At 43.3% G+C, this 26,984-nt stretch overlaps 1 protein-coding gene across 3 annotated transcripts in view, besides 3 other annotated features; it reads left to right on the forward strand.

Moving 5' to 3' along the window:
- Positions 1,423-2,289: an enhancer, noted in NCBI's record as "H3K27ac-H3K4me1 hESC enhancer chr3:135968821-135969687 (GRCh37/hg19 assembly coordinates)". NCBI's record gives its function as "activates a minimal SCP1, AML or CMV promoter by ChIP-STARR-seq in primed H9 embryonic stem cells {active_cell/tissue: H9 hESC(primed)}" and the evidence as "EXISTENCE:reporter gene assay evidence [ECO:0000049][PMID:30033119]".
- Positions 1,519-1,578: an enhancer, noted in NCBI's record as "active region_20584". NCBI's record gives its function as "activates an Ori minimal core promoter by ATAC-STARR-seq in GM12878 lymphoblastoid cells {active_cell/tissue: GM12878}" and the evidence as "EXISTENCE:reporter gene assay evidence [ECO:0000049][PMID:35858748]".
- The window catches only part of PCCB (propionyl-CoA carboxylase subunit beta), a 79,830-nt gene continuing 54,629 nt past the window's right edge, over positions 1,784-26,984 (forward strand). For 2 of the 3 annotated variants that reach the window (NM_000532.5, XM_011512873.2), the window contains exons 1-5: positions 1,784-2,002; positions 7,300-7,419; positions 7,999-8,067; positions 11,923-11,979; positions 13,396-13,509. In NM_000532.5, the coding sequence (NP_000523.2) occupies positions 1,820-2,002; positions 7,300-7,419; positions 7,999-8,067; positions 11,923-11,979; positions 13,396-13,509 (543 nt within the window). In that variant the 5' untranslated portion in view covers positions 1,784-1,819. Of the gene's footprint in view, positions 2,003-7,299; positions 7,420-7,998; positions 8,068-10,619; positions 10,680-11,922; positions 11,980-13,395; positions 13,510-26,984 lie in introns of all 3 variants that reach the window. The other variant, NM_001178014.2, reaches the window with a different exon arrangement.
- Positions 2,209-2,258: an enhancer, noted in NCBI's record as "active region_20585". NCBI's record gives its function as "activates an Ori minimal core promoter by ATAC-STARR-seq in GM12878 lymphoblastoid cells {active_cell/tissue: GM12878}" and the evidence as "EXISTENCE:reporter gene assay evidence [ECO:0000049][PMID:35858748]".

The raw sequence follows: 26,984 nt of genomic DNA on the forward strand, positions 1-26,984 counted from the left end.
TTACGGAGTTATACAGATACAGGTGGGCTTTGCCTAGCCAAGAGGCTTTGGCCTCTAAGCTGCCCTCTCTATCTAGATGAACTGTTACTACTCCAGGAAATGCAATCAGTACTGATGTTTAGTTCTTGGCACATGGTAGGTGCTCAAAAATGTTTTCTGAGTTGAATTGCATTAACATTAAGGTCATAGGTCAGAATTTGTACTTTATGAAGGCCCTGGCTATGAGCTGGATCTGGGAAGGGCTCATGATCAACTTTAGCAGTTTTCTGTGGCTAAAAATGAGAAATATAAACCATGTTCTTTGTCTTGAAGACCTGCCTGTTAGTGGGAGAAACAGATGGTCAAGCTCTCAACAGTACAATTCCAAATTCCTAGAGCAGTGGTTCTTAAACTTTAGCAAGCAGATCAGAATCACCTAAAGGTCATCTGCTAAAACAGATGGCTGGCCCCAGCCCCAGAGTTTCTGATTTAAAGGTCTGGAGTAAGTTCTGAGAATTCGAGCTTGCATTTCCAACTCACTCCCAGGTGATACTGAAGTTGCTGGATTGACAAGATTCCCTCCTTGATCAAACATTGGTCAGGCTCTTCTGAGCTCTCTCTTTGACTAGGCCTGAGTGTGGGCTCCCATGTCATTCCTTGTGGAATTCCATTTTAGCAAGAAACTTGCCAAGTCAGTTTAGCCAGAATCCTCCATTCTTGATATCTGATTACTCTCCATATCTGGTTTTGACCCATACCGCCACCATCCCCCAGGTGATGTTCAGTTACCCTGACCTGCCTTGGGCAGGAATCCTGTTAGGTCAATTTAGCCAGATTCCCCGCCAATGTTTCCTCTTAGTAATTTTCCATCCACTGACTTCCACACACTGCCCCTTAGCTATAAATTACCACTTTGCTATATTCAGCCCAATCGCTCTGACTTATGGCAAAACTCTATCCCTACCTCTGTCAGATTGGGCCTGAATAAAGTTTGCCTTACCATTCTTAAACATGAATAATTAAGTGTCATGAATAGTTTTTTCTTTAATGGGATCCATACTTTGAGAACTACTGATTAGAGGTTAAGGGTCCTGTGCTCATTATCTGGCACATATTAATGATAGGTCTCTGAGTTTGAATCCTGGCCAACCACATTGTCAGTCTTGGCTTTTTTTTTTTTTTTTTTTTGAGACAGGGTTTTGCCCAGGCTGGAGTGCAGTGATGCAATCACGGCTCACTGCAGCCTCGACTTCCTGGGCCAAGCCATCCTGCCGCCTTAGCCTCCCGAGTAGCTGGGGTCACAGGTGCAAGCCGCCATGCCCAGCTAATTTTTAATTTTTTTGTAGAGGTGGGGTCTTACTATATTGCTCAGGCTGGTCTTGGGCTCCTGGGCTCACCTACCTCGGCCTCAGTCTTGCCTCTTGATCAAATCACTCATCTCTCTGTGCTTGATTTACCTCATCTGTGAAATCCAGATAGTAAGCTAGTGCATGGTAAGTGCAAAAAGCAACACCTGGCACAATGCTTAATAAATGTTGGTTAAATCTTATAATCATTTTCTGTAGGAAGTGGGACGACAAAGTTAAGGGTCTAGGTGGTCAGAGAAGAGCAAGGACTATGTCCCTTTTTTGTGCAGCCAGGCAGGCCCTGTACTTTTTCTCTGCGCGACCCTCCTCGGGCAGCACCGGGTCTCGAACTCTCACGCCTTACTCCCAAGCAGGTTCTGTAGTCCAGCCCCCGCGGCTCCCTACAGCCAGCCGATGCTGCGCAAGCGCCGTACCCACGCTTTAGCACATGCGTACTCAGGTGCGCCGGTAGGGGACGCGCCGGCACAGCAAAAATGGCGGCGGCATTACGGGTGGCGGCGGTCGGGGCAAGGCTCAGCGTTCTGGCGAGCGGTCTCCGCGCCGCGGTCCGCAGCCTTTGCAGCCAGGCCACCTCTGTTAACGAACGCATCGAAAACAAGCGCCGGACCGCGCTGCTGGGAGGGGGCCAACGCCGTATTGACGCGCAGCACAAGCGAGTGAGTCCTGAGGGGCCTAAGTGAGTCCCGCCCCTGGCGTCCGCGACCTATCACTGCGTGCCCGGCTTGCGGCGTCCGAGGCCTCCCTGCCAATCCGCACGGTGCCTGGAGGGGCCGGAGCAAGGGTGTTCACCTTGAAAACCTGTAGCGTTTCTCGTGGAGGCGGGTATAACCAGCAGAAGCACCTGTGTGCTTTTTCATACTGTTTAACCCTTGGGATTTAGACGGATCTGGCTCGTCTCTAGCCAGCTCAACACTTAACATAAGCTTTTGGGCAACTTATTAAATCTCTGTGGGTCATTTTAATAATAATTCTTCCTTCACAAGTGTATCGTTAGACCATAGATAGCAAAATGATAGGCGCTCAGTAAAAACCATGTGCTTATTCTCGTGCCCCATGAAAGAGTGATGGTAGGTTCTTTCTCCTTTGTGGAAGCAGGAAAACTGAACTTGGGCATACTCCACTAACATGAAATGGGGGATGTGCGCGTGCAGGAACTTGTGGAACTTCTGCCCGCAGAATGCCTGGTCGAGCTCTTTAGGGCCTTAGCATGCCTCGCCTTGATGGGTAGCAAAGGCACGTGTCGGAAGCAGGTGGCCTTTCTGGGAGTGCGCAGGCTACTCTCGATGTTTGGCTGGACTGAGCAGTTGAAACACTGCCACCCACCGCCTGGGTTTTGAGGCGAGAATCCAGCTGGCCTTCAGAGATAAGCTGGGCGGCCCATTTTGGAGAGGTGATCCCTGACTTGAAACCAGGCTTGCCCAGTGTGTCCGTGACTGGTGGGTGAGTCTGGACCGTTGTGCTGAACGAATTAACCAACGGGAAGGTGCAGAAGTGAAACTCTTACAGATGAAGAGTATTCAGGCACAACTCACAACCATGAGGGAGGCACTGGGGGAGGGATGGGGTCTTAAAGTGAGGAGATTTGAACAGCTCTATATTTGTCTAATATTGATTCAGATGTCATAAATTCGCATTTGACAAGGGTCCAAAGGTAACAGTTCCTTTTGACACTTGAGAGTGAAATGTAAATTTAGTGATGGTTTGTGGTGCTAGGAGTGCTTTCTCTCCCCTGGGGCTACTTCTAACCTACTCTGTTAGGGCTGAGGGAGATGTTAGATCATCCTCTGGAAAGGCCTGTCAGTGCTCCTGTACACTCTTTCTGTTGGGGCCTATTGCTCAATTCTTCCCTGGAACATCGCCTAGCCCTTTCCCAGGTAGATCCTACTAGGTTTAGATGAAGCCTCCAGAAGCTGTTTTTCTTTTGCCAAAGTTAACTTAGGAGGCTGATTTAATATGAACCCCCTCCTGCACCCCTTTTTATTTTTATGTTTTGATACGGAGTTTTGCTCTTGTTGCCCAGGCTGGAGTGCCATGGTGCGATCTTGGCTCATTGCAACCTCTGCCTCCCAGGTTCAAGCTATTCTCCTGCCTCAGCCTCCCAAGTAGCTGGGATTACAGGTGCCCACGACCATGCCTGGCAACTTTTTTTTTGTATTTTTAGCAGAGACAGGGTTTCACCATGTTGGCCAGGCCGGTCTTGTACGCCTGACCTCAAGTGATTCACCCACCTTGGCGTCCCAAAGTGTTGGGATTATGGGTGTGAGCCACTGCACCCGGCCCTGCACCCCTTTTAAAACAATTTTTGACCATTTCCGTAGATTTTCCCAGAAGAGGAATTAGTGGGTCAAAGGGTGTAAGTTTATTTATTTTTTTTGAGACAGAGTTCACTCTGTTGCCCAGGCTAGAGTGCAGCAGCTCACTGCAACTTCTGCTTCCCAGCTTCAAGCAATTCTCCTGCCTCAGCCTCCAGAGTACCTGGGGTTACAGGTATGTGTCACCACATCTGGCTAATTTTTGTATTTTTAGTAGAGATGGAGTTTCACCATGTTGGCCAGGCTGGTCTTGAACTCCTGACCTCAGGTGATCCACCCGCGTCTGCCTCCCAAAGTGCTGGGATGACAGAATTTTTTTTTTTTTTTCCTTGAGACAGGGTCTTACTCTGTCACCCAGGCTGGAGGGCAGTGGTGTAATCATGGCTCACTGCATCCTTGACCTTCTGGGCTCCAGTGATCCTTCCACTTCAGCCTCCTACCCAGCTAATTTTTTTTTTTTTTTTTTTTTGGTAGAGACAGGGTCTCGCTTTGTTGCCCAGGCTGGTCTCAACTCCTGGGCTCAAGCAGTCCTCCCACCTTGGCCTTCCAAAGTGCTGGGATTACAGGTGTGAGCCGCAGTGCCTGGTCAGTATAAATATATTTTAAAAATCTGTATATATGTTGCCAAATTGGTTTCCTGAAAACTTACTCTACTTTACATGACAGTGTATAGGATTGCCTGTTTTTTGTTTTGTTTTTTTTTTTTTAAATGCAACCTCACCAGCTTTGGCTACTTTCCTAAGGGGAAAATAATAGCCAATTTGAGGTATTTTTTGTTTGTTTTTGTTTTTTTCGGGGAGGGGGGGATAGGACAGTAGGCTAGGGTATTTGCCTCGGGTTGAGAGCTTGGGAGTCCAAGCAATGGAGGTTTTTTTTTTTTTTTTTTTTTTTTTAAGATAGAGTCTTGCTCTGTCACCCAGGCTGGAGTGCAGTGGCGCGGTCTTGGCTCACTGCAAGCTCCGCCTCCCGGGTTCATGCCGTTCTCCTGCCTCAGCCTCCTGAGTAGCTGGGACTACGGGTGCCCACCACCACACCTGGCTATAATTTTGGAGTTTTAGTATAGACGGGGTTTCACCATGTTAGCCAGGATGGTCTCGATCTCCTGACCTCGTGATCCGTCTGCCTCGGCCTCCCAAAGTGTTGGGATTACAGGCGTGAGCCACTGCACATGGCCTCTTTTTTTTTCTTAAGACAGGGTCTCACCTTGTTGCTCAGGCTGGAGTGCGGTGGAGTGATCGTGGCTCACTACAACCTCTGCTTCCCAGGTTCAAGTGATTCTCCTGCGTTAGCCTCTTGAGTAGCTGGGATTTAAGGCACGTGCCACCACACCTGGCTAATTTTTGTATTTTTAGTAGAGACGGGGTTTCACCATGTTGAGCAGGCTGGTCTCTAACTTTTGACCTCAGGTGATCCTCCCATCTCGGCCTCCCAAAGTGCTGGGATGACAGAATTTTTTTTTTTTTTTTTTTTTCTTGAGACAGGGTCTTACTCTGTCACCCAGGCTGGAGGGCAGTGGTGTAATCATGGCTTAGTGCATCCTCGACCTCTGGGCTCCAGTGATCCTCCCACTTCAGCCTCCTACCCTGCTAGTTATTTTATTTTATTTTATTTTTTGGTAGAGACAGAGTCTCGCTTTGTTGCCCAGGCTGGTCTCAACTCCTGGGCTCAAGCAGTCCTCCCACCTTGGCCTTCCAAAGTGCTGGGATTACAGGTGTGAGCTGCAGTGCCTGGTCAGTATAAATATATTTTAAAAATCTGTATATATGTTGCCAAGTTGGTTTCCTAAAAACTTATTCTACTTTACGTGACAGTGTATAGGATTGCCTGATTTTTGTTTGTTATTTTAAACACAACCTCACCAGCTTTGGCTACTTTCCTAAGGGGGAAATAATAGCCAATTTGAGGTATGTGGTTTTTTTTGTTGTTGTTGGGGAAGGGGACGGTAGGCTAGGGTATTTGCTTGGGGCTGAGAGCTTGGGAGCCCAAGCAATGGCGGCTTTTTTTTGTTTGTTTTTGTTTTTTGAGACAGTGTCTCACCCTGTCACCCAGGCTGGAGTACAGTGGTGCGATCTTGGCTCACTGCAACCCCTGCCCCCTGGGTTCAAGCGATTCTCTTGCCTCAGCCTCCCGAGTAGCTGGGACTACAGGTGGGTGCTACCAAGCCCAGCTAATTTTTTTTGTATTTTTAGTAGAGATAGGGTTTCGCCGTGTTAGCCAGGATGGTCTCGATCTCCTGACCTCATGATCCGCCTGCCTTGGCCTCCCAAAGTGCTGGGATTACAGGTGTGAGCCACTGCGGCTAGCTTTTTTTTTTTTTTTTTTTTTTTTTTTTTTAAAAGACAGGTTCTCGCTTTGTTGCTCAGGCTGGAGCACGGTGGAGTGATCACAGCTCACCACAACCTCCGCTTCCCAGGTTCAAGTGATTCTCCTGCCTCAGCCTCTTGAGTAGCTGGGATTACAGGCACGTGCCACCACTCCCAGCTAATTTTTGTATTTTTCAGTAGAGACCAGGTTTTGCCATGTTGTCCAGCTGGTCTCAAACTCCTGGGCTCAAGCGATGCTCGTCTCAGCCTCCCAAAGTGCTGGGATTACAGGTGTGAGCCACTGTGCCCAGCCGAGGCTCCTGGTAGATTGAGAGCTCTGACCTCATCTCCTCAAAGAAGCTTTTTTTTTTTTTTGGGACGGAGTTTCACTTTGTTGCCCAGGCTGGAGTGCAATGGTGCACAATCTCGGCTCACTGCAAGCTCTGCCTCCTGGGTTCAAGCGATTCTTCTGCCTCAGCCTCCTGAGTAGCTGGGAAGACAGGCGCATGCCACCACACCCGGCTTATTTTGTATCTTTAATAGAGATGGGGTTTCTCCATGTTGGTCAGGCTGGTCTCGATCTCCTGACCTTGTGATCCACCCGCCTCTGCCTCTCAAAGTGCTGGGATTACAGGCGTGAACCACCGTGCCCGGCCCAAAGAAGCATTTTTAAACTCTTCTCAAGTGAGCTCTTTAGCATTTTGTGTCCCACTCCCCTTCTACTCAGCCACTCCCTGCTGTGGGGTCATCTCTGTGTCACAGTGTCACTGTCAGGTGTGGGGTCCCTAAACAGGGGATAGGATAGTAGGAGAAGGAGAAGCCCACAGAGGAGGCAGGAGAAGAACCAGGAAGTAGCGTGTCCTTGAGGTGGGAGCTGGGAGCAGTAGGGACCCTCGTGAGGTGAGGTGTGCTTCTGTAGGTCTCCCTAGAAAAAACCTGTGTCAGATCCTTCACTAAGCCTGCTTTAGTTTCCACCACCTGCTTCTGCATTCTTTTTATGGCTCCTTAGGTCTCCAGTAAGTATTTGTGGAACTAATTAATTGTGTTCCAGGGTCAGGTTCTCCTTATCCCCACTTCTCTCTACCTTTTCCTCGTCCTATTTCCTTATTCATCTTCCACAGTTGGGTGGCTTCTGGCGCACACTGTCTGTCCTGATTTCCATGTCATCTAAAGTCTACTAATAACACCTATCTGCCTTGGGCAGGTTGGATAGAATGAAAGTACTTGCATTGAGATCAACGGGCAAATCTGCCCTTCAAGCCCTCCCATGAACAGCCCTTGCTTTGCTTACTAAATTGTCTGTGATGACATCACTGAGTGATCTTTGTTCCATTGTAGGGAAAGCTAACAGCCAGGGAGAGGATCAGTCTCTTGCTGGACCCTGGCAGCTTTGTTGAGAGCGACATGTTTGTGGAACACAGATGTGCAGATTTTGGAATGGCTGCTGATAAGAATAAGGTATTTGTTCAAATGGTGGTGTGAACACTTTTTAGGTGTGGCTCAGCTGGCCTACCCACTAGAATAATAATAAATCTATAAGGCTTTTATCTGAAGTCCTCTGCAGAGGCACTGCAGACATCAAGCCCAGATAATTTTTGTATTTTTAGTAGAGATGGGCTTTCGCCATGTTGGTCAGGCTGGCCTTGAACTCCTGGCTTCAAGCAATCCACCCACCTCGGACTCCCAAAGTGTTGGGACTACAGGCGTGAGCGACCGTACCCTGCCTTGTGTTTCTTTATACGTCCTCCTTCATGTAAGCATAGAGAAGTGGTGGCCCTGGGTCTTGATTGTTTTGCTTTTAGGAGGGTACATAAGGCCTAAGATGACAGTGCCATTCACTCCTATTGATGAAGTAGTAGCCCTGTGCTTGCTGTTGTAGAGCTGGGAAAGTGGGGTGGGATTCCTTCATGTTCCTTGTTCATATTGACGTTTTAGGAATTTGGGTTTTGTTTTTGTCTTTCATTGAGGCATAGTGGCCAAACTCATTAGAAGAAGTATTTGGATTTTTTAACCTTTATTTTTGCATTTTTCTGGTAGTTTCCTGGAGACAGCGTGGTCACTGGACGAGGCCGAATCAATGGAAGATTGGTTTATGTCTTCAGTCAGGTATTTCATAACTCCAATAGTCTGAACTTTTCTTGGAGGGCAGAGCCAAGAGGAAAATATGTGAAAGAAGCCAATCTTGGGGAATGAAAACTTGCTTGTAGTTTGGGGAAAATGAGGGATTTGCTTTGCTTTTCAGTGCGTGTTTCCAGAATATTGTGTGTTTTTTACTTAGGAAGAGTCCTTAGTCTGTTTTGGGGGGGATCACAGGGCACTAGCCTTGTACAAAGGTATCCCAAGAACCAGGAATTTATTCCAAGTGAATGAGATTCCTCTTAGCTGGGTTGGGTGTGTGCCTGTAGGGCATCTGTGTCCTGGGCAGTGTATGTGGACTAGAGAGAGTGCAGTGGGTGCAGCCTCGCAAAGGGGACTTGACTCTCAGAACCAGAGTCCCCCTGAGCTTTGGGCTTTCATGAATATGTTCAGAAAATTTTATCAGGGTGCATCAAGACAGATACAGTTTGTTCACACACATAGCCAAAGCTATCAATATGTTATTTTACACGCAAAAGGGAATGAAGGTTGTTAATCAGCTGGCCTTGCAATAGGGAGAGTAGCCTGATTTATCCAGGTGGGCCCAATATAATCACAGGGTCCTTAAAAGTGGAAGAGGGAGGTAGAAGAGGAGCTTATAAGGATGTGATATGAGAAGGACATGATCTGCAGTACCTGGCTTTGAAGATGGGAGAAGGGGACCATCAGCAAAGGAGTGCCCATGGTCTCTAGGAGCTGGTAAAGGCAAGAAAACACATTTTCCCCTGGAGCCTCCAGAAGGGAGCACAGTCCTGCCAACCTTAATTTTAGCCCAGTCAATCCTGTGTAGCGCTTCTAAATTATAGAACTATAAGATAATACATTTGTGTTGTTTCAAGGCACTGAATTTATATTAATTTGTTATAGCGGTAATAGAAAACTAACACAGAATATGTTGTGTACTATTTTGGATTTGACTTTTTTCTCTCCAGAGGTGGAAATATGTATATAATTTAAAATGCTTAGGTCTTTTTACAGACCTAAAGTTTGATATTAAAATTGGCTAGGCGTGGTGGCTCATGCCTGTAGTCCCAGTACTTTGGGAGGCTGAGATGGGTGGATCACCTGAGGTCAGGAGTTTGAGACCAGCTGGCCAACATGGCGAAACTCCATCTCTACTAAAAACACAAAAATTAGCTGGGTGTTGTGGGTGCCTGTAATCCCAGCTACTTGGGAGGCTGAGGCAGGAGAATCGCTTGAACCTGGGAGGCGGAGGTTGCAGTGAGCCGAGTTTGCGCCACTGCACTCGAGCCTGGGTGGCAGAGTGAGACTCCATCTCAAACAAAAAAATAATAAAATAGTTATACTTGGTTAATTTAAAATCTGTCGTAGTTAGTATGCATTTACCAATTAAATTACCTTTGAAATGTTTTAAAACTGTTATAAATTGGTCTACCAAATGCCGAAATAGAAGGAATCACATTTGTTTTGTGCAATTTATGAGAGCTGAGAAAAACTTGTACAGAAGGAACCATTGAAAAGAGAGATAGAACAAAGATGTTTTCTGGACATGATGTTCACTCACCACTATTAAGCAGATGGAAGAATTCACTGAATTGATACTTTTGACCACCTCTTATGCTCATGTGGTAGGGTGGGAGTGAGGAGAAGGTGGAGATGACTGAGACAAGAGTTCCCACCCTGAAGAAGCGAATCATTTTATAGGCAGAATGGCACAGAACGGATGTAACTACAGAGCACATGGAGTGAGAGGTTCCAGGCAAATGCTGTAGACCCAAGACAAGGGAAAATCACATCCAGGGTTGAGGAAAGCTTTAGGAACAATGGGGCAATTGAGACAGGCCCTGAAGGATACTGAGGGTAGGGAGTGATGAGCTAGTGTTTTTTAATAGTGATCTCCAAGATGTTAATATCTTAGGTGCTTTTTCTGGGGAGCTTCTGTTCTTCTGGGGAGCCTCCTCAGTCCCTTGCCTGATAATTGGCTGTTGGTGTATTCTGAGGGGGAGAGAAAAAAAGGGGCCAGCACTCATTCAGTGTATAGGCTCCTAATCTTGCATGTTTTCAGCCTCACCTTTTCCTCTTTTAGGCTAGCGATTGTGAGTTTAGAACCCTTCTGGTTAATTTCCTTTAGAGAACAAACATTCTCTGTCCTCTCAAGGTGAAGGAGAGGCCCTGTGGGGTCTGACTGCTTCTAACAGAGACTTCTGTTAGTCTCTGTTTTCAGCCTCCTTCTCACCTCCACTTTCCATGGTTCCTGGGTTGTCTTCTCCTTGATTACCCCCACTGCAGGTGTGTAAGCTTCCATTCTCTCCCTCTAAATCAGGTATTTTCTTGTGCTTTCAGTTCCCCCCAAATTTGTTTAATCCTTCCTATGCTATTGTCTCCTTGTTCTTATTCTCACAGCTGATTCTGTTCTTAATTCCTAACTGTCTTTTTGAGGGGGTTTTAGGAGAGGTTATGCCCACAATAAGCCCTTTACATCTGAACATAATGAAGATCCATAAGCAGAAGAAGCAGTGAGAGCTCTGATTCTTGTTTTTTAACCTTTCTTTTTAAAACAGCAAATAATAGGCTGGGCACAGTGGCTCCCGCTTGTCATCTCAGCACTTTGGGAGGCCGAGGTGGGTAGATCACTTGAGGCCAGGAGTTTGAAACTGGCCTAGCCAACATGGCAAAACTGTCTCTAATAAAAATACAAAAATTAGCTGGGCCTGGTGGCACGTGCCTGTAATCCCAGCTACTCGGGAGGCTGAGGCAGGAGAATCACTTGAACCTGGGAGGCGGAGGATACAGTGAGCCAAGATTACGCCACTGCACTCCAGCCTGGGTGACAGAGCAAGACTTGGTCTCAAAATGATAAGTAAAATAAAACAGTAAATATTTCTTAAAAACAGAAGTGCTTGACTGTTTGATATCCATAGAATCTGATATTAGAGTTAATTCTGTGTGATAGGTTTTCCTTCAGAACTGCAAATCATTTCTTTTTTTTCCTTTCAAATCATTTTTGTAGAGCAAAGACTAGCTCTTTTGCTCTTGACAATTCATGAACTTCCTTTAAGATATTTTATTCTATGGAATAATCTATAAATCAGACTTCTTTTCTAATTTTTTAAACTTCTGAAAATGCTTTAAAAACTATATGTATGTATTTTTTTAAATACAGAGTCTCGCTCTGTCGCCCAGGCTGGAGTGCACTGGAGCAATCTCTGCCCACTGCAGCCTCCGCCTCTTGGATTCAAGTGATTCTCCTGCCTCAGCCTCCCGAGTAGCTGGGATTACAGGCACACACCACCACGCCCAGCTAATTTTTATATTTTAGTAGAGATGGGGTTTCACCATGTTGGCCAGGGTGGTCTGGAACTCTTGACCTCAAGTGATCCTCCTGCCTTGGCCTCTCAAAGTCTTGGGATTACAGGTGCGAGCCACCATGCCCGGGCAACTTTTTTTGTTTTGTTTTGTTTTGTTTTGTTTTGTTTTGAGACAGGGTCTTGCTCTGTTGCATAGGCTGGAATACAGTGGTGCTGTCTCAACTCACTGAAGCCTCTGTCTCCAGGGCTCAAGCAATCCTCCTGCCTCAGCCTCCCGAGTAGCTGGGATTCCAGGCATGTGCCACCATGCGCAGCTAACTTTTTTCTATATTTTTTGCAGATACGGGCTTCTGCCATGTCGCCCAGGCTGGTCTCAGACTCCTGGACTCAAGCCATCCACCTGCCTTGGCCTCCCAAAGTGTTGGGATTACAGGCATGAGCCACCACGCCTGGCCTAAAAACTTTTATCTGTGAATTTTCTATTTCTTCCTCCCACTGGGTTTTCATCTCTAGCCAGTCACTATATTTGACTTGCTGATTTGTATTTTCTTTTTAGGATTTTACAGTTTTTGGAGGCAGTCTGTCAGGAGCACATGCCCAAAAGATCTGCAAAGTAAGTGTTTAATACTCAAATTCAATCCATTGCTTTCCTCAGTTACATAGTGCTTATTGAGTATCTTTGGGGTACAAGACACTGAGCTAGGTACTTGGGGTAGGGCAGAGGTATGCAAGATGTGCTACCAACCCGAAGGGGTGCATAACAATTTTCGTACCATGGATCTCTTCCATGGGCTGGCAAAGCCTGAACCCTCCTGTTTTTACATGCCTAAAATAAAATTTGTAGGATTTTAAAGGATTAAAAATGTTTTTAAAAACCACATTTAGAATATACGTGCTCCCTTGTTAATGCATTTAATAACAAGATTTAGCAGTAGATCTAGTAACTACCGTAATTTCAAAGTAGTCAAAGGTGAAATATTTCAGGGTATCTGCAACAACTTTAATAGGACGTAAAAATATCTGTGGCTTCTAATAATGGCAAATCACAGATATTTCTAATACTGAGGCTCATTGCCTATATCAATAATGAAGAGAAATGTTAACGATCAGCTAGCGTTAGTAAAGATAAAGATGTAAATTTTTTCCTGTTCAAGTTCATGGACTCCCGTTCACAGATCTCTTGGGGTTCTGAGGATTTCAAGTGAAGAACCTCTTGTCTAGGTGGAAGGGCCAGGTGCTAGAAGGTAAAGAACAGTGCGAGCATTGTATGCTGATATTTAAAAACTACTGCTAGAGATTAGATGCTCTGGAGAGGAATAAAACTATAAATAATAGAGAATTTTGGAATTAAAGTTGGAGCTACTAGTAACTGGAACATCTGGATTATAGACATGGTCCTGTCATGTATTACTCCTGAGACCTTGGGCCAGTCACTTAACTTTTAAACCTTAATTTTTCTCATTTTACTCCCTCTGTTATGATGGGTAAATGAGGTAATGGAAGTGAAAGTACTTTTTAAACTGTCAAGGACTGTAGGAATATTGCTTATTATGCTGTCGGAATTACTAACCCATGAGGAAAATCTGTCACATTAGAAGTAAAAGCAGGCCCGGGCCTGCCCTCAGATTAACAGATGGGTCAACATCTGCTTTCATGAAAGTACTACTTTGCCATTCTGTCTACTGTAAGTTCTGTCAAAGCAGTACCTGGGAACAAAACTGGCTGCTGGAAGACGTTACAACGTGAGCCTGTGGTTCTAGAAATGGTTGCCATGAGTTGTTTTATCCCCTGCTAATGGGAAGTGCTTTGGCTCTTGGGTGTTTGGGGGCTTTAATCAGCCTATTAAATATCTGGTCCTTTGTCTTCCATGAAGGTACCCAATCGTGATGGGGAGTGAAACCAGTGTTACTGCCTCCTGTTTTGAAAAGTGCACTCAGAACGTTTTCCAGAAAACACTGTGGTATTTTGTGAATGTCGTTTTTTATATCAAGAACATTTGTCTCAATAAAAGATTTCTCTGCTGTCTCAGATCATGGACCAGGCCATAACGGTGGGGGCTCCAGTGATTGGGCTGAATGACTCTGGGGGAGCACGGATCCAAGAAGGAGTGGAGTCTTTGGCTGGCTATGCAGACATCTTTCTGGTGAGAAACCTGTTAATAGAGAATAAAAAAATACAGGGCTTAAGTTCTCTAAGCCATGGCCTGGCCAGAGCTTCTCCAACTCTCCTCATTGTTCTCTGCCGCATTGTGTCTGTTCTGTGGGTCCTTTCTGTGTCACTGGGGGTGGGATGAAGGGTAGATGAAAAGCAAGAGAGAGTGGGAAGAGAGGGTTTTCATTTTTTCTAACAGAGGGCCACTCACAGGGGAAATTACAGTTAAAGATCGTTCATAAGGGAAAAGCACTTGAAAATGTTTTTCTTTTTTTGAAAGCAAGGGAGAGGAAATATGAAAAGTTAAAATGAACTGATGTGCTTGAATTAGAAGTTTTAAAAAATGTAGCACCTTTTTTATTTTTTAGTTAAAACACTACAGGATTATTAAATAAAGTCCAAGCCACAGTGCAAAGAAGAATGAAATCACCCCAGATCCTACCATTCAGAAACATTTGGCGAACCTCATTACTGATATCTCTTTGCTTATTTACAGACTGAAATTATGAGAGAAAGAAATGAAAAGAAACATAAAATAATGTGTTATGTGAAGTATAAAGTATATTTGTGAGAGATACAGTAAGAGGCTGGGATGAGGGAGAGAGATACTGCAGACAGAAACTGGCAACATTTCCAGGGAGAAGAAAGGAAGGAGACAGGCAGACATTGTTTTTAATCAGGCCAGCCACTCTTATCATCCCTGCTCTGCAGGCTTACTTCTGTGGATGGCTTGGCCTAAGCAGTTTAGGCCTGGAAGTCATTCCTGTTTAGAAACAAAAGAGCGGCCCTCAGAGACGTGGTGATAAACCACCACATTTTAGAGCTTGACTGGATTTTAGAATATCATCTAGTTGAATACATCTTTATGGGTCTGGAGGAGGTTTTTTTTTTTTTTTTTTGAGACAGAGTCTGGCTCTGTCTCCCAGGTTGGAGTGCAGTGGCCCGATCTCGGCTCACTTCAACCTCTGCCTCCTGGGCTCAAGTGATTCTCCTGCCTCAGCCTCCCGAGTGGCTGGGACTATAGGCGTCTGCCACCACGCCCAGCTAATTTTTGTATTTTTAGTAGAGACGGGGTTTCACCATATTAGCCAGGTTGGTCTCGAACTCCTGACCTTGTGATCCGCCCACCTCGGCCTCCTAAAGTGCTGGGATTACAGGTGTGAGCCACCGCGCCCAGCTGGTTTTTTTTTTTTTTTTTAATATTTATTTATTTAGAGACAGTGTCTTGGTTGGCCAGGCTGGAATGCAGTGGCATGATCTCTGCTCACTGCAACCTCAGCCTCCTGGGCTCAAGCGATCATCCCACCTCAGTCTCCTGAATAGCTGGCACCACAGGCATGCACCACCACATCCGGTGAATTTTTTTTTGTATTTTTTTTATAGAGGCGGGGTTTTGCCATGCTGCGCAGGCTTATCTTGAACTTCTGGACTCAAGCGATTGGCCTGCGTTTGCCTCCCAAAGTGCTGGGATTACAGGAGTGAGTCACCACGCCTGGCTTTTAATTTTTGTTTTCAAGGGCTAGTCTTTACTTTCAGATCTTCATTGCTTAATTAATTGCTTACTAATGCTGCTTGTCATATTGATACCTCCACTCACTTATTCCTGCCTGTGTTATTTTTTGGTAACTTTTTATTTTGATAAAATTTCAAACTTCAGCCTGGGCACGGTGGCTCACACCTGCAGTCTCAGCACTTTGGGAGGCCAAGGCAGGTAGATCTCTTGACGTCAGGAGTTCAAGACCAGCCTGGCCAACATGGTGAAATCCTGTCTCTATTAAAAATACAAAAATTAGCTGGGCATGGTGGCACATGCCTGTAATCCCAACTACTCAGGAGGCTGAGGTGGGACAACTGCTTGAACCTGGGAGACAGAGGTTACAGTGAGCCAAGATTGTGCCATTGCACTCCAACCTGGGTGACAGAGCAAGACTCTGTCTCAAAAAAAAAAAAAAAATTCAAACTTCACAGAAAAATGACAAGAATAGTATGGGAACTCCTATATGTCCTTTTCCCAGATTCACCAGTTGTTTACATTTTCTCCATTTGTTCTGTTATTCTCTCTCCATATATACATATTTGCATGTTACATTTTTCTGAAATATTTGAGAATAAATTGGAGATACTATGTCTTCTTTACCTCCTAAGTTCTTCATTGGGTATTTCTAAAGAATAAAGATATTCTCTTAAATAACCAGAATACAGTAATAAAAATCAGGAAATTTAACATCGATTCATCGATGTTATTCTAATTCATTATCCTTATTCAGGACTTAAGTCCTTTATAGTGTGTGCTCTGGGCATGTGTGCACTTTCTATGTGCGCGCTCTCGCTCTTTCTGTCTCTGTCTCTCATATATATGTGTGTGTGTATATATGTATATATATATATGTTCCTCCTGGCCAGGATCCAATCCAGAATAAAGCATTGACTTTAGATGTTATCTCTTTTTAATCTTTTTTGATCTGGAGCAGTTCCTGTCTTTGTTCTCCATGATCTTGATATTTTAAAAAATAGCTTTGGCCAGGTGTGGTGGCTCACACCTATGATCCCAGCACTTTGGGAGGCCGAGGCAGGTGGATCACGAGGTCAGGAGATCAAGACCGTCCTGGCTAACACGGTGAAACCCCATCTCTACTAAAAAAAAACAAAAAATTAGCCAGGTGTGGTGGCGGGCGCCTGTAGTCCCAGCTACTTGGGAGGCTGAGGCAGGAGAACGGCATGAACCCGGGAGGCAGAGCTTGCAGTCAGCCAAGATTGCGCCACCGCGCTCTAGCCTGGGCGACAGAGCAAGACTCCGTCTCAAAAAAAAAAAAAAAAAAAAAGAGCTTAATGCTTAATAGGGCCGGGCACGGTGGCTCATGCCTGTGATCCCAGCACTTTGGGAGGCCGAGGTGGGTGGATCACTAGGTCAGGAGTTCAAGACCAGCCTGGCCAAGATGGTGAAACCCTGTCTCTACTAAAAATACAAAAATTAGGCGGGCGTGATGGCGAGCGCCTGTAATCCCAGCTACTCGGGAGGCTGAGGCAGGGAATTGCTCGAACCTGAGAGGTGGAGGTTGCAGTGAACTGAGATCATGCCACTGCACTCCAGCCTGGGTGACAGAGCGAGACTCCATCTCAAAAAAGAAAAGTAGCTTTATTGAGATATAATTTACAAACCATAAAATCCACCCATTGTGAAAATATAATTCAGTAATTTTAAATTAATTTTTAGAGTTGTACAGCCATAATCTAGTTTTCAAACCTGCCACTCACTCCAAAAATACCTTCTTGCCTGTTTGCAGTCAGTTCCCACCTAACCACAGTCAATTCCTCACCCAACTTTCTTATTTTACAAATTTTTCCATCTGACTCCTTTCACTAAGCACCATGTTTTTTGAGGTTCATTTATATTGTAATATGTATCAGTTTGTTCCTTTTTATTGGTGAATAATATCTATTGAATATTTTATGTATTTTCATCATTTACCAGTTGAAGGATATTTGGATTGTTTCTGGTTCCTGGCTATCATGAGTAAATGCTACTGTGAACATTTGTGTATTACTTTGTGTGGATATATGTTTTCATAACCCTTGGATAGATAGGTACCTAAGAGTGGGATTGTAGGTTTTATGATAAGCTTGTTTATAACTTTTTAAGAAATTGCCAGATGGTTTTCCAAAACAACTAAACCATTTACATTACCATGAGCAATGTGTTCAGGGTTGCAGGTTCTCCATATCTTTGTTGATACTTGGTATTGTCAGTCTTTTTTTGTTTTTTTTTTTTTGAGACAGAGTCTTGCCCTGTCGCCCAGGCTGGAGTGCAGTGGTGCGATCTCGGCTCACTGCAAGCTCCACCTCCTGGGTTCACGCCATTCTCCTGCCTGAGCCTCCCGAGTAGCTGGGACTACAGGCACCTGCCATCACGCCCGGCTAATTTTTTGTATTTTTAGTAGAGACTGGGTTTCACCATGTTAGCTAGGATGGTCTCGATCTCCTGACCTCGTGATCTGCCCACCTCAGCCTCCCAAAGTGCTGGGATTACAGGTGTGAGCCACCACCATGCCCAGCCTTGGTTTTTTTTTTTTTTTGAGATGGAGTCTCACTCTGTGGCCCAGGCTGGAGTGCTATGGTGCAGTCTGGGCTCACTGTAACCTCTGCCTCCCAGGTTCAAGTGATTGCCCTGCCTCTGCCTCCCGAGCAGCTGGGATTACAGGCATGTGCCACCATGGCTGGCTAATTTTGGTATTTTTAGTGGAGACAGGGTTTCACCATGTTGGCCAGGCTGGTCTTGAACTCCTGACTTCAAACGATCCATCTGCCTTGGCCTCCCAAAGTGCTGGGATTACAGGCGTGAGCCACCGCACCCAGCCAGTCTTTTTTTGAGACAGGGTCTCACTCTGTTGTTCAGGCTGGAGTACAGTGGCATGATCACAGCTCACTGCAGCCTCGACCTCCTGGGGTCAAGCGATCCTCCTGCCTCAACCTCCCAAAGTGTTGGAATTACAGGCGTGAGCCACTGTGCCTGGTCCAGTCTTTTTGACTATAGCCATTTTAGTGGTGTGTAATGGTATCTCACTGTAGTTCTAGTTTGCATTTCTCAGATGACTAATCATGTTGAGCATCTTTATGTACATATTAGTCATTTGTAAACCTTCTTTGCTGAAATGTCTATTCAGATCTTTTGTCCATCTCGTAATTGGGTTTTTGAGTTGTAAGAGTTCTTCATATATTCTGGATACAAGTCCTTTATCATATATATGATTTGTAAGTATTTTCTCCCAGTCTGTGGCTTGTCTTTTCTTTCTTAGTGGTAGCTTTATTTTTATTTTTATTTTTTATTTTTTGAGACAGCCTCACCCTGTCCTCCAGGCTGGAGTTCAGTGGTGTGATCTTAGCTCACTGCAACCTCCACTTCCTGGGTTCAAGTGATTCTCGTGCCTCAGTCACCCAAGTAGCTGGGATTACAGGTGCATGCCACCACGTCCAGCTAATTTCTTTGTATTTTTAGTAGAGATAGGGTTTCACCATGTTGCCCAGGCTGGTCTTGAACTCCTGAGCTCAGGTGATCTGCCTCCCTTGGCCTCTAAAAGTGCTGGGGTTACAGGCGTGAGCCAGCACACTCAGCCTATTTTTATTTTATTTTTTAGAGACAGGGTCTTGCTCTGTTGCCTGGGCTAGAGTGCGTTAGTGCAATCACAGCTCACTGCAGCCTTGAACTCTGGGCTCAAGCAATCCTCCTGCCTTAGCCTACGGAGTAGCTAGGACTATAGGCACACACTAGTACACCCAGCTAATTTTTGAAAAATTTCTTTTGTGTGTAGAGATGGGGTCTTACTACATTGCCCAGCCTGGTCTTGAACTCCTGGTCTCAAGCGATCTGCCTCGGCATCCCGAAGTGCAGGGATTACAAGCCACTGCCCCAAGCCTGTGGTGGCTTTTTTTTTGAGCTAGGGTCTCACTCTGTCACCCAGGCTGAAGTGTAGTGGTGTAATCATGGCTCACTGCAGCCTGGACTTCCCGGGGTCAGGCAGTCCTCCTGCCTCATCCTCCTGAGTAGCTGAGACCACAGGCACATGCTACCACATCTGGCAATTTTTTTTCATTATTTGTAGAGGTGAGGGTCCCACTATGTTGCCCAGGCTGTTCTCAAACTTCTGGACTTAAACTGTCCTCCTACCTCGGCTTCCTAGAGTGCTGGTGTTACTGGCATGAGCCGATGTGCCCAGCCTCTGGTGGCTTTTGAGGTGGAGAAGTTTTTAATTTTGAAGTCCAGTTTATCAAGTTTTCTTTTGTGGGTCATGCTTCTATTGTCATATGTAAAAACTTGTAATACAAAGTCATGAAGATTTTGTTTTCTTCATGGAGTTTTTTTTGTAGGTTTGGCTCTTTTTTTTTTTTTTTTTTTGAGATGGAGTTTCACTCTTGTCGCCCAGGATGGAGTGCAATGGCGCTATCTCAGGGATTATGGGTGCCTGCCACCAAACCTGGCTAGTGTGTGTGTGTGTGCGTGTGTGTGTGTGTGTGTGTAGATATATATATATATATATATATATATATATATATGTATATATATATATATATATCTACATACACAAGTACATATAAGAGAGCCCAGCCAGCTTTCTTATAGTAGGTCTGTGATCCATTTTGAGTTAATTTTTGTATATGGTGTGACAGAAGAGTCTAACATCACTCTTGTCTCCCACCATTAATTGACATAACTATTCTTTCCCCATTGAATTGTCTTGACACATTGATAAAAATATCAGTTGATCATAAATGTAAGGGTTTGTTTCTGAACTCTCAGTTCTTCCATTGTTCTATGTCTGTCCTTAAAATAGAACCACACTGTCTTGATTACTGTAGTTTATAGGAGTTTTGAAGTTGTGTAAAATCCTCCAACTTGGTTTTTTTTTTTTTTTTTAGATGTAGTCTCGCTTTGTAGCCCAGGCTGGAGCACAGTGGCATGATCTCAGCTCACTGCAACCTCCACCTCCTGGGTTCAAGCGATTCTCCTGCCTCAGCCTCCCGAGTAGCTGGGATTACAGTCACGTGCCAGCACACCTAGCTAATTTTTGTATTTTTAGTGGAGATAGGGTTTCACCATGTTAGTCAGGCTGGTCTTGAACACCTGATCTCAGGTGATCCACCCGCCTCGGCCTCTGAAAATGCTGGGATTACAAGCGTGAGCCACCGCACCCAGCCCGATCAGCTCTTAACTCTACAAAAATGCCTGCTGAGATTTGATAGGAACTGCATTGAGTCTGTAGATGAATTTGGTGAGAATTTACATCCTAACATATTGAGTCTTCCACTCCACGTAGATGGAATGTTTCTCTGTTTATGTAGCTCTATACTTTGTCTCAGCAATATTTTGTAATTTGCAGCATACCTGTCTTGCACTTCTTTTGTTAAACTTATACCTAAAATATTTCACTCTGGCCAGGTGCAGTGGCTCACGCCTGTAATCCTAGCACTTGGGGAGGCCAAGGCAGGGGGATCACCTGAGGTCACAAGTTCGAGACTAGCCTGGCTAACATAGTGAAACCCTGTCTCTACTAAAAATACAAAAATTAGCCAGGTGTTGTGGTGCATGCCTGTAATCCCAGCTACTCAGAAGGCTGAGGCAGGAGAATCGCTTGAATCCAGGAGGCGGAGGTTGCAGACTCCAGCCTGGGTGACAGAGCAAGACTCCGTCTCAAAACAAAACAAAATATTTTACTCTTTGTGATGCTATTTAGAATGGAATTATCTTGTTAATTTCCTATTTGGATTCTTTGCAAATGTATAGAGATACAATTGATTTTCATATGTTGATCTTGTATACTGCTTTGCTGAGGTTGTGTATTAGCTTGAATAGGGGGTGTGTGTGTATGTGTGTATTTCTTTGGATTTTCTATATACACAATCATGTCTTCTGCAAATAGAGGCAGTTTTACTTATTCCTTTCTAATCTGGATGCCTTTTATTTCTTTTTCTTGCTAATTGCTCTGCTTAGAACCTGTAGTACAGTGTTAAGTAGAAGTGGTAAGAGTGGACATCCTTGGCCGGGTGCGGTGGCTCACGCCTGTGATCCCAGCACTTTGGGAGGCCGAGGTGGGCATATCACGAGGTCAGGAGATAGAGACCATCCTGGCTAACACGGTGAAACCCTGTCTTTACTAAAAATACAAAAAAATTAGCCGGGTGTGGTGGCGGGTGCCTGTAGTCCCAGCTACTCGGGAGGCTGAGGCAGGAGAATGCCGTGAACCCGGGAGGCGGAGCCTGTAGTGAGCCGAGATCGTGCTACTGCACTCCAGCCTGGGTGACAGAGTGAGACTCTGTCTCAAAAAAAAAAAAAAAAAAAAAATAAGAGTGGACATCCTTGTCTTGTTCCTAATCTTAAGGAGAAAGCATTCATTCTTCACCATTAAGCATGATGTTAACTGGTGTGTGTTTTTTTTTTTTTTTTGGACATTCTCTTGAAGGTTGAGGAAGTTCCTTTCTACTTCTAATTTTTTGAGTGTTTTTATCATGAAGGGTATTTAATATTGTCAAATGCTTTTTTCTGCATCTGTGAGATAATCATGTGTTTTTTGTTCTTTATTCTAATGATATGGTATGTAACATTACTGGTTTTTAGAATGTTAAACCAACCTTGTATTTCTGTGATAAATCCTACTTGGTCATGGTATATCATCCTTTTTTGGAAGGTGCTGGGCTCTGCCAGTATTTCCTTGAGTACTTTTGAATCAATATTAGTAAGAAACATTGACCTACAGTTACCTTGTGATTTTTTCTTTTGGTTTTGGTATTACAGTAATTCTCACCTCATAGAATGAGTTGGAAGGGTTGCCTCTGTGAGGTAGGTTCCCTATGCACTGGTTATGAACTTTTCTGATTTCAGTAAGACAGAACACTCACACAAGTTACATGAAGTGCCCGGCCACATCTGTTGTTTTTTGACATTTTTTTTTTTCCCGCTGTAGGCAGAGTCTTGCTCTGTTTCTCAGGCTGGAGTACAATGGCGCGATCTCGGCTCACTGCAGTCTCCACCTTGTGGGTTAAAGCAGTTCTCCTGTCTCAGCCTCCCGAGTAGCTGGGACTACAGGCACACGCCACTACACCCATCTAATTTTTGTATTTGTAGTAGAGACAGGGTTTCACCATATTGGTCAGGCTGGTCTCAAACTCCTGGCCTCAGGTGATCCACCTGCCTTGGCCTCCCAAATTACTGGGATTACAGGCATGAGCCCCTGCGCCCGGCTGTTTTTTGACTTTTTAATTATGGCCGTTTTTGTAGGAGTAAGGTGGTATCTCATTGTGGTTTTCATTTGCATTTTCCTGATAGTGATGTGAGCATTTTGTTTCATGTTTGTTGGCCATTTGTATATCTTCTTTTGAGAAATGTCTATTCATGTCCTTTGCCTACTTTTTGATGGGATTATTTTTTCTTGCTGATTTGAGTTCCTTGTAGATTCTGCATACTGGTCCTTTGTCAGGTGCATAGTTTGCAAATATTTTCTCCAGCTCTGTGAGTTGGCTCTTTGCTGATTACTTCTTTTGCTGTGCAGAAGCTTTTTAGTTTAATTAGGTCCCATTTATTTTTGTTTTTGTTGCATTAGCTTTTGGGGTCTTAGTCATGGATTTTTTGCCTGGGCCAGTGTTCAGAAGAGTTTTTCCAATGTTGCAGAATTTTTATGGTTTCAGGTCTTAGATTTAAGTCTTGGAAGTCTGGTAATGTGATGCCTTCAGATTTGTTCTTTTTGCTTAGTATTGCTTTGGCTATCTGGACTCTTTTTTGGTTCCATATAAATTTTAGGATTGTATTTTCTAGTTCTGTGAAAAATGATGATGGTAATGGTAGTGTTTTGATGGGAATTGCATTGAATCTGTAGATTGCTTTGGGCCATATGATCGTTTTCACAATATTGATTCTTACCTCCATGAGCATGAGATGTGTTTTCATTTGTTTGTGTCATGTATAGTTTCTTTCAGCAGCGTTTTGTAGTTTCACTTGTAGAGATCTTCACCTCCTTGGTTAGGTATATTCCTAGGTATTTTATTTTATTTTTTGCAGCTGTTGTAAAAGGAATTGAGTTCTTGATTTGATTGTCACTTTGGTTATTGTTGGTGTATAGCAGAGCTATTTATTTGTCTATATTAATTTTGTAACCTAAGACTTTACTGAATTCCTTTATCAGATCTAGGAGTCTTTTGGATGAGTCGCTAGAGTTTTCCAAGTATATATGATCATATCACTGATAAACAGTACTTGTTTGACTTCCTCTTTTCCAATTTGGATGCCCTTTATTTCTTTCTCTTGCCCAATTGCTCTGGATAGGACTTCCAGTACTATGTTGAATAGAAGTGGTGAAAGTGGGCATCCTTGTCTTGTTCCAGTTTTCAGGGGGAATGCTTTCAACTTTTCCCCATTCATTACGATGTTGGCTGTGGGTTTATCATATATTGCTTTTACTATTTTGAAGTATATCCCTCCTATGCCTAGTTTGAGAGTTTTTTGTCATAAAGAGATGCTGGATTTTATTGCATGCTTTTTCTGCATGCAATTGAGATGATCATATGGTTTTTGTTTTAAATTCTGTTTACGGGATTTATCACATTTATTGACTTGCATATGTTAAACCATCCCTGCATCTCTGGGATGAAACTCACTTGATCATGTTGTATTATCTTTTTGATGTGCTGTGGGATTTGGTTAGCTAGTATTTTGTTGAGGATTTTTGCATCCATGTTTATCAGAGACACTGGTCTGTAGTTTTCTTTTTTTAATGTCATTTCCTGGCTTTGGTATTAGGGTGATACTGGCTTCATAGAATGATTTAGGAAGGATTCCCTCTTTCTCAATCTTTTGGAATAGTTTCAGTAGGATTGGTACCAATTCTTTGAATATCTAGTGGAATTCAACTGTGATCCATCTGGTCCTGGGCTTTTTTGTTGTTGGCAGTTTAAAATTACTGATTCAGTCTCACTGCTTGTTTTTGGTCTGTTCAGGGTTTCTGTTTCTTCCTGATTTAGAGGATTGTATGTTTCCACGAGTTTATCCATTTCCTCTAGATTTTTCAGTTTGTGTGTGTAAAGATGTTCATGTTAGTCTTGAGTGATCTTTTGTATTTCTATGATATTGGTTATAATATTTCCAGTTTCATTTTTCATTGAGCTTATTTGGATCTATTCTCTTCTTGGTTAGTCTAATGGTCGACCAATTTTGTTTATTTTTTCAAGGAACCAAGTTTTTGTTTTATTTTTTGCTTCAATTTCCTTTAGTTCTGCTCTGATCTTTGTTATTTCTTCTGCTGGCATTGGGTTTAGTTCGTACCTGTTTCTCTGGTTCATTGAGGTGAGACAGTAGATTGTCAGTTTGTGTTCTTTCAGACTTTTTGATGTATGTACTTAAAACTATGAACTTTCCTCTTAGCACTACTTTTGCTGTATCCCCAGAGGTTTTTATAACTGTGTCACTACTATCATTCATTTCAAATTTTTAAATTTTTATCTTGATTTATTGTTAACCCAGAAATTATTCAGGAGCAGATTATTTAATTTCCATGTATTTGTATAGTTTTGAGCATTTCTTTTGGAGTTGTTTCTAGTTTTGTTCCACTGTAGTCTGAGAAGATACTTGATATGATTTCAATTTTCTTAAATTTGTTGAGACTTGTTTTGTGGCCTGTCATACAGTCTATCTTGGAGAATGTTCCATGTGTTGAGGAGAAGAATGTATATTCTGCAGTTGTTTGGTAGAATGTTCTGTAAATATCTGTTAAGTCCATTTGTTCTAGGGTATACTTTAAGTCCATTGCTTCTTTGTTGAGTTTCTGTCTCAACAAAAAGAGTCTAGTGCTGTCAGTGGAGTATCGAGGTCCCCCATTTCACTTTGTTGCTATTTCATTTCCTAGGTCTAGTAGTAATTGTTTTATAAATCTGGGAGCTCCAGTATTAGGTGAATATGAATTCAGGATTATAATATCTTTTTGTTGGATTGTTCCTTTTATTATATAATGACCTTCTTTTTCTTTCTTTTTTTTTTTCTTTTTTCTTTTTTTTTTTTTTTTTTTTTTACTGTTGTTGCTTTAAAGGTCTATTTTGTCTGATATAAGAATAGCTACTTTGCGAGGCCAAGACGGGCGGATCGCGAGGTCAGGAGATCGAGACCATCCTGGCTAACACGGTGAAACCCTGTCTCTACTGAAAATACAAAAAATTAGCCGGGCGTGGTGGCGGGTGCCTGTAGTCCCAGCTACTTGTGAGGCTGAGGCAGGAGAATGGCGTGAACCCAGGAGGCGGAGTTTGCAGTGAGCCGAGGTTGCACCACTGCACTCCAGTCTGGGTGACAGAGGGAGACTCTGTCTCAAAAAAAAAAAAAAAAAAAAAAAAAGAATAGCTCATTCTGCTTGCTTTTGGTTCCCATTTGCATGGGATATCTCTTTCCCCCCCTTTACCTTGAGGTTATATGAATCCTTATGTGTTAGATGACTCTCTTGAAGACAGCAGATATTTGGTTTGTGATTTTTTAAAAATCCATTCTGCCATTCTGTATCTAAGTGGATCATTTAGGCCATTTACGTTCAACATTAATATTGAGATGTGAGATACTGATCTGTTTATCATTTTAGTTGTTACTTACTTTGTTTTTTTTTCATTGTGTTATTGTTTTATAGGCCTTGTGGGTTTTATCTTTCAAGAGGTTTTATTTTGGTGCATATTGAGCTTTTGTTTCAAGATGTAGAACTCTTCTGAAGAGTAATGCTGGTTTGGTAGTGGCAGATTCCCTCGGCATTTGTTTATCTGAAAATGGCTTTATCTCTCCTTCATTTAGGAAACTTAGTTTTGCTGGATGCAAAATTCTTGGGTGGCAGTTATTCTGTTTAAGGAGGCTAAAGATAGAACCCCAATCCCTTCTAGCTTGTAAGGTTTCTGCTGAGAAATCTGCTGTTAGTCTGATTGGTTTTCCTTTATAGGTTACCTGATGCTTTTGTCTCATAGCTCTTAGGATTCTTTCCTTCATGTTGACTTTAGATAGCCCGATGACTATGTGCCTTGGTGATAATCTTTTTGCAATGAATTTCCCAGGAGTTCTTTGAGCTTCTTGCATTTGGATATTGAAATCTCAGGCAAGGCCAGGGAAGTTTTCCTCAATGATTCTCTCAAATAAGTTTTCTAAACTTTTAGCCTTCTCTTCTCCCTCAGGACCACCAAGTATTTTTAGGTTTGGTTGTTTTACATAATCCCATATTTCTTGGAAGCTTTGTTCATTTCTTCTTTCTTTTTTTTTTTTTCTTTCTTGAGATAGGGTCTTACTCTGTTGCCCAGGCTGTAGTACAGTGTTGTGACCTTTGTCTCCTGGGCTCAGGCAATCCTCACACCTCTGCCTCCTGAGTATCTGGGACTACAGGCACATGCCACCACTCCCGGCTAATTTTTATGTTTTTTTTGTAGAGATGGAAATTTGCTATGTTGCTCAGGCTGGTCTCAAAGTCTGGGCTCAAGCAGTCCACCTGCCTTGCCCTCCCAAAGTGCTAGGATTATAGGCATGAGACACTGACCCCAGCCTATTTATTTCTTTTGATTCTTTTTTCTTTATTTTTGTCTGATTGGGTTAATTTGAAAGCCTTGTCTTGGAGCTCTGAAATTCATTCTTTGACTTGTTCTGGTCTATTGTTGAAACTTTCCATTGCATTTTGTATTTCCCTAAGTGTGTTTCATTTCCGGAAATTCTGATTGTTTTTTCTTTATGATATCTATGTAGAAAATTTTTCCTTCATATTCTGAATTGTTTTTTAAGTTTTTTTTTTATGTTGGTTTTCACCTTTCTATGGTGTCTCCTTGAGTAGCTTAATAATCAACCTACTGAATTATTTATCTGATTATTTCAAATATTTCGTTTTAGTTTGGATCCATTGCTGGGGAGCTAGTGTGATCTTTCGGGGGTATGATAGAACCCTGTTTTGTCTTATACCAAAATTACTTTTCTGGTTCTTT

This window comes from Homo sapiens, chromosome 3 (assembly GCF_000001405.40).
Source record: "Homo sapiens chromosome 3, GRCh38.p14 Primary Assembly".
Lineage (NCBI taxonomy): Eukaryota > Metazoa > Chordata > Mammalia > Primates > Hominidae > Homo > Homo sapiens.